The following is a 6,000-nucleotide window of genomic DNA, read 5'->3' as shown; positions in this document are numbered from 1 at the left end:
TAGACAGGTGAAACAGCTTTTCATTTGTTTATACACAATTTGTCTTTTTCTTCTGTGCAATTCCTCTTAATATTCTTTGCCCATTTTCTCATTGGGTTTTGCAAGTTCTTTCTTATTGGAATGAACTCTTTGTATATTCTGAATAGTATATTTTTATTATATATACATAGTAAACATTTTCTTCCAGTCTTTCACTTATTTTTTTAACATCGTTTATCAATACATTGCTAACAAAATGATTTGATCATTTTGGTTAGGAACATTTGTCTATCTTTTACTTCATAATATTTGCATTTCATGTCATGTGTAAAAGGAATAATTTACTGCAAGAATGTAAAAAGTTATATTTTCTTATAATACTAATTTTATTTTTCTATTGATGTCTTGATGTTATTTGAAATTTATACTTTTGGTTTTTTCAAATTCTAAATAATAACAACTTTCTCAAAACAATTCTGTTCTCTACTGATTTCAAAGGCTACATTTCTAATGTCTTAAATTCTTGCATATAATGTAAGTCACGTCTGATTATCATGCTGATGCCATGGATGCGTTTTGTATCAGCACAGTAGTCTAGGATTATAATATCTCCTGATGTCCAATGGGTGCTGACCTCCACTCACTATTGGATGGCATCTTTGCTTTATGAACTTTAAAATTACTTTATTAATTCACATACATACTAACATCTGAAATTTCCATCTTTTAAAAATTTTTTATTATTATTTCAATAGTTTTGGAGGAATGGGTGGTGTCTGGTTAATGGATAAATTCTTTAGTGTTGATGTCTGAGATTTTGGTGTACCCATCACCCAAGCAGTGTACACTGCACCCAATGTTTAATCTATCACCCCTCCACCCTTTCCCCTAGAGTCCCAAAAGTCCATTGTGTCATTCTTATGCCATTGCATCCTCATGGCTTATCTCCCACTTATGAATGAGAACATATGATATTTGGTTTCCAGACTTCGGCTACTTCACTTACAATGATAGTCTCCAATCTCATTCAGGTTACTATGAATGCCATTATTTCATATCTTTTTATGACTAAGTACTATTCCATGGTACACCTATATACCACATTTTCTTTATCCACTCGATAACTGATAGGCATTTAGGCTGGTTCTATATTTCTGCAATTGGGAATTGTGCTTCTATAAACATGTGTGTGCAAGTGTCTTTTTAAATTCTTTTCCTCTGGTTAGATACTCAGTAGTGGGATTGCTGGATCAAATGGTAGTTCTACTTTTAGTTATTTAAGGAATCGCTATAGTGTTTTCTATGGTGGTTGTCCTAGTTTACATTCCCACCAGCAGTGGAAACGTGTTCCCTTTTCACCACATCCACACCAACATCTATTGTTTTTTTATTTTTTAATTATGGCCATTCTTGCAGGAGTAAGGTGGTATCTCAATGTGGTTTTGATTTGCATTTCCTTGATGATTAATGATGTTGAGCATTTTTTCATGTTTGTTGGCCATTTATATATCTTGAGTATTTTCTATTCATGTCCTCAGCCCACATTTTGATGGGATTATTTGTTTTTTCTTGCTGATGTGTTTGAGTTCCTTGTAGATTCTGGATATTAGGTCCTTTGTTGAATGCATAGTTTGTGAATATTTTTCCCCACTCTGTGGGTTGTCTGCTCACTGTACTGAATATTTATTTTGCTGTGCAGAACCTTTTTAGTTTAATTAAGTCCCTTCTATTTACCTCTGTTTTTGTTGCATTTGCTTTCAGATGCTTGGTCATGAACTCTGCCTAAGCCAATGTCTAGAAGAATTTTTCCAGTGTCATCTTCTAGAATTTTTATGGTTTCAGGTCTTAGTTTTAAGTATTTGATGCACCCCGAGTTGATTTTTGTATAAGGTGAGAGATGATGATCTAGTTTCATTCTTCTACATGTGGCTTGCCAATTATCCCAGCACCATTTGTTGAATAGGGTGTCTCTTCCCCATTTTATATTTTTGTTTGCCTTGTAGAAGATCAGTTGGCTGTAAGTAATTGGCTTTATTTCTGGGTTCTCTATTCTATTCCTTTGGTCTACATACCTGTTTTTATACCAGTACCATGCTGTTTTTGTAACTATAACCTTGTAGCATAGTTTGAAGTTGGGTAATGTGATGCCTTCAGATTTGTTGTTTTTGCTTAGTCTAGCTTTAGCTATGTGGGCTCTTTTTTGGTTCTGTATGATTTTTAAGATTTTTTTTTTTTAGTTCTGTGAAGAATGATGATGGTATTTTGATGGAAATTTCATTGAATTTATTGATGGTTTTTGGCAGTATGGTTATTTTTGCAATATTGATTATATCCATCCATGGACATGGGATGTGTTTCCATTTTTTGATGTCACCTATAATTTCTTTTGGCAGTGTTTTGTAGTTTTCCTTGTAGAGGTCTTTCATCTTGGTTAGGTATAGTCCCAAGTATTTTATTTTATTTATTTATTTATTTATTTATTTATTTATTTATTTATTTGCTGCTGTTTTAAAAGGGGTTGAGTTCTTTATTTGATTCTCAGCTTGGTCACTTTTGGTGTATAGCAATGCTACTGATTTGTGTACATGGTTTTGTATCTTGAAACTTTACTGTATTCATTTATCAGTTCTAGGAGATTTTTGGATGAGTCTTTAGGGTTTTCTAGGTATATGATCATATCACTGGTGAACAGCAACAGTTTGACTTCCTCTTTACTGATATGGATGCCCTTTGTTTCTTTCTCATGTCCGATTGCTCTGGCTAGGACTTCCAGTACTATGTTGAATAGAAGTGGTGAAAATTGGCATTGTTATCTTGTTCCAATTCTCAGGGGGAATGATTTCAACATTTCCCTACTCAGTATGACGTTCGCTATGGGTTTGTCATAGATGGCATTTATTACCTCAAGGTATGTCTTTTCTATGCTGATTTTGCTAAGGGTTTTAATCATAAAGGTATGCTGGATTTTGTCAAATGATTTTTCTGCCTCTATTGAGGTGATCATGTGATTTTTAAAAAAATTCTCTTTATGTGGTGTACCACAGTTTTTGACTTGCATAAGGTAAACCAACTCTGCATCCCTGATATGAAACCCACTTGATCGTGGTGTATTATCTCTTTGATATGCTAATGGATTCAGTTAGCTAGTATTTTGTTAAGGATTTTTGCATCTATGTTCATCAGGTATTCCAGTCTGTAGTTTCCTTTTTTTGTTATGTCCTTTCCTGTTTTTGGTATTAGGGTGATACTAACCTCATAGAATGATTTAGGGAGGATTCCCTCTTTCTCTCTCTTTTGGAATACTTTCAGTAGGATTGGTATCTGTTCTTCTTTGAATGTCTGATAAAATTCAGCTGTGAATCCATCTGGTCCTGGGCTTTTTTTATTGGCAATTTTTTAATTTCTGTTTCAATCTTGCTACTTGTTATTGGTCTGTTCAGAGTTTTTATTTCCTCCTGGTTTAATCTAGGCGTGTTGTATATTTCCAGGAATCTATCCATCTCCTCTAGGTTCTCTAGTTTATGCGCATAAAGGTGTTCATAGTAGCTTTGAATGATTTCTCTGGTATTGGTCGTAAATCTTCCATTTCATTTCTAATTGAGCTTATTTGGATCTTCTTCCTTCTTTTCTTTGTTACTCTCACTAATGGTCTATGGAGTTTGTTTATTTTTTCAAAGAACCAGCTTTTTGTTTCATTTATCTTTTGTGTTTTTTTGTTCTGTTTTGTTTCAATTTCATTGAGTTTTGCTCTGATTTTGGTTATTTCTTTTCTTCTGCTGGGTTTGCCTTTTGTTTGTTCTGTTTCTCTAGTTCCTTGAGGTGTGAGCTTCGATTGTCTATTTGTGCACTTTCGGACATTTTGATGTAGACATTTAACACCATGAACTTTCCTCTTAGCACCGCCTTTGCTGTATCCCAGAGGTTTTGATAGGTTACGTCACTATTATCATTCAGTTCAAACAATTTTTAAATTTCCCTCTTGATTTCATTGTTTAAAGATCATTCAGGAGCACATTATTTAGTTTTCATGTATTTGTTTAGTTTTGAGGGTTCTTTTTGGAATTAATTTCCAGTTTTATTCCACTGTGGTCTGACAGTACTTGATATAATTTCAGTTTTTTTAAATTTATTGAGACTTGTTTTGTGGCCTATCATATGTTTTATCTTGAAGAATGCTCCATGTGCTGATGAAAAGAATGTATATTCTGCAGTTATTGGGTATAGTGTTCTGTAAATATCTGTTAAGTCCATTTGTTCCAGGGTATAGTTTAAGTTCATTGCTCCTTTGTCAACTTTCTGTCGTGATCACCTGTCTAGTACTATCAGTGGAGGAGTGAAGTCTCCCACTATTATTGTGTTGGCATCTGTTTTATTTCTTAGGTCTAGTAGTAGTTGTTTTATAAATTTGGGAGCTCCAGTGTTAGGTGCATATACATTTAGGAATGTGATATTTTTCCAGTTGAACTAATCCTTTTATCATTATATAATGTCTCTCTTTATCTTTTTTTACTGTTGTTGCTTTAAAGTCTGTTTTGTCTGATATAAAAACAGCTACTCCTGCTTACTTTTCATTTTTATTTAGATGGAGTATCTTTTTCTACTCCTTTGCCTTAAGTTTATGTGAGTCCTTATGTGTTAGGTGAGTCTCTTGAAGACAGGAAACGGTTGGTGGATTTTTATCCATTCTGCCATTCCATGTCTTATAAGTGGAACATTTGGCCATTTACATTAAATGTTAGTTTTGACATGCGAGGGACTTCTGTTTATCATGCCAGTTGTTGCCTGAATACCTTGGGTTTTTTTCATTGTGTTATTGTTTTATAGGCCCTATGAGATTTATCCTTTAGGATGTCTCTAGCAAGACCAGGGAAGTTTTCCTCTATTATTTTCTCAAATACATTTTCCAAACTTTTAAATTTCTCTCCTTCCTCAGGAACAGCAAGTATTCTTATGTTTGGTTGTTTAACATAATTTCACATTTCTTGGAGGTTTGCTTATTTATTTTAATTCTTTTTTCTTTGTCTTTGTCAGATTAGGCTAATTTGAAAACCTTGTCTTCAAACTCTGAATTTCTTTCTTCTATTTGTTTGAAATCTGTTCTTGAAACTTTCCACTGTATTTTGCTTTTCTCTAAGTGTGTCTTTCATTTCCAAAAGTTGTGATTGTCTTTTCTATGTGATATCTATTTCTCTGGAGACTCTTTCAACCACATGCTGTACTGTTTTTAGTTTCTTTATTTTTTAATTTTTTTATTGCCATAGGTTTTTGGGGAACAGGTCGTATTCGGTTACATAAATTCTTTAGTGGTGATTGCACCCATCACCTGAGCAGTAAACTGAACCCAATTTGTAGTCTTTTATCCCTCACCTTCTTACCCTTTCCCCTGAGTCCCCAAAGTTCATTGTGCCATTCTTATGCCTTTGCATCCTCATAGCTTAGTTCCCACTTATGAGTGAGGGCATAGATGTTTGGTTTTCCATTTCTGAATTACTTCACTTAGAATAATAGTCTCCAATCCCATCCAGGTTGCTGCAAATGCCATTACTTCATTCCTTATTGTGGCTAAGTAGTATTCCTTCATATATGTATACCACAGTTTCTTTATCCATTCATTGATTGATAGTCATTTTGGTTGGTTCTATATTTTTGCAATTGCGAATTGTGCTGCTATAAACATGTGTGTGCAAAATCTTTTTCATAAAGGGCTTCTTTTCCTCTAGGTAGATATCCAGTAGTGGGATTGCTGGATCAAATGTTAGTTCTACTTTTAGTTCTTTGAGAAATCTCCACACTGTTTTCCATAGTGATTGTACTAGTTTAGATTCCCACCAGTAGTGCAGAAGTGTTCCCTATTCACTGCATCCATGCCAACATCTATTATTATTAATTTTTCTATTATGGCCATTCTTGCAGGAGTAAGGTGGTATCACATTGTGGTTTTGATTTGCATTTCCCTGATCATTAGTGATGTTGAGCATTTTTTCATATGTTTGTTGCCATTTGTATATCTTCTTCTGAGAA

Source organism: Homo sapiens, chromosome 13 (genome assembly GCF_000001405.40).
Source record: "Homo sapiens chromosome 13, GRCh38.p14 Primary Assembly".
Classification (NCBI taxonomy): Eukaryota; Metazoa; Chordata; class Mammalia; order Primates; family Hominidae; genus Homo; species Homo sapiens.
The sequence above is the reverse complement of the archived record's forward strand: the minus strand, read 5'-3'. Positions refer to the sequence as shown.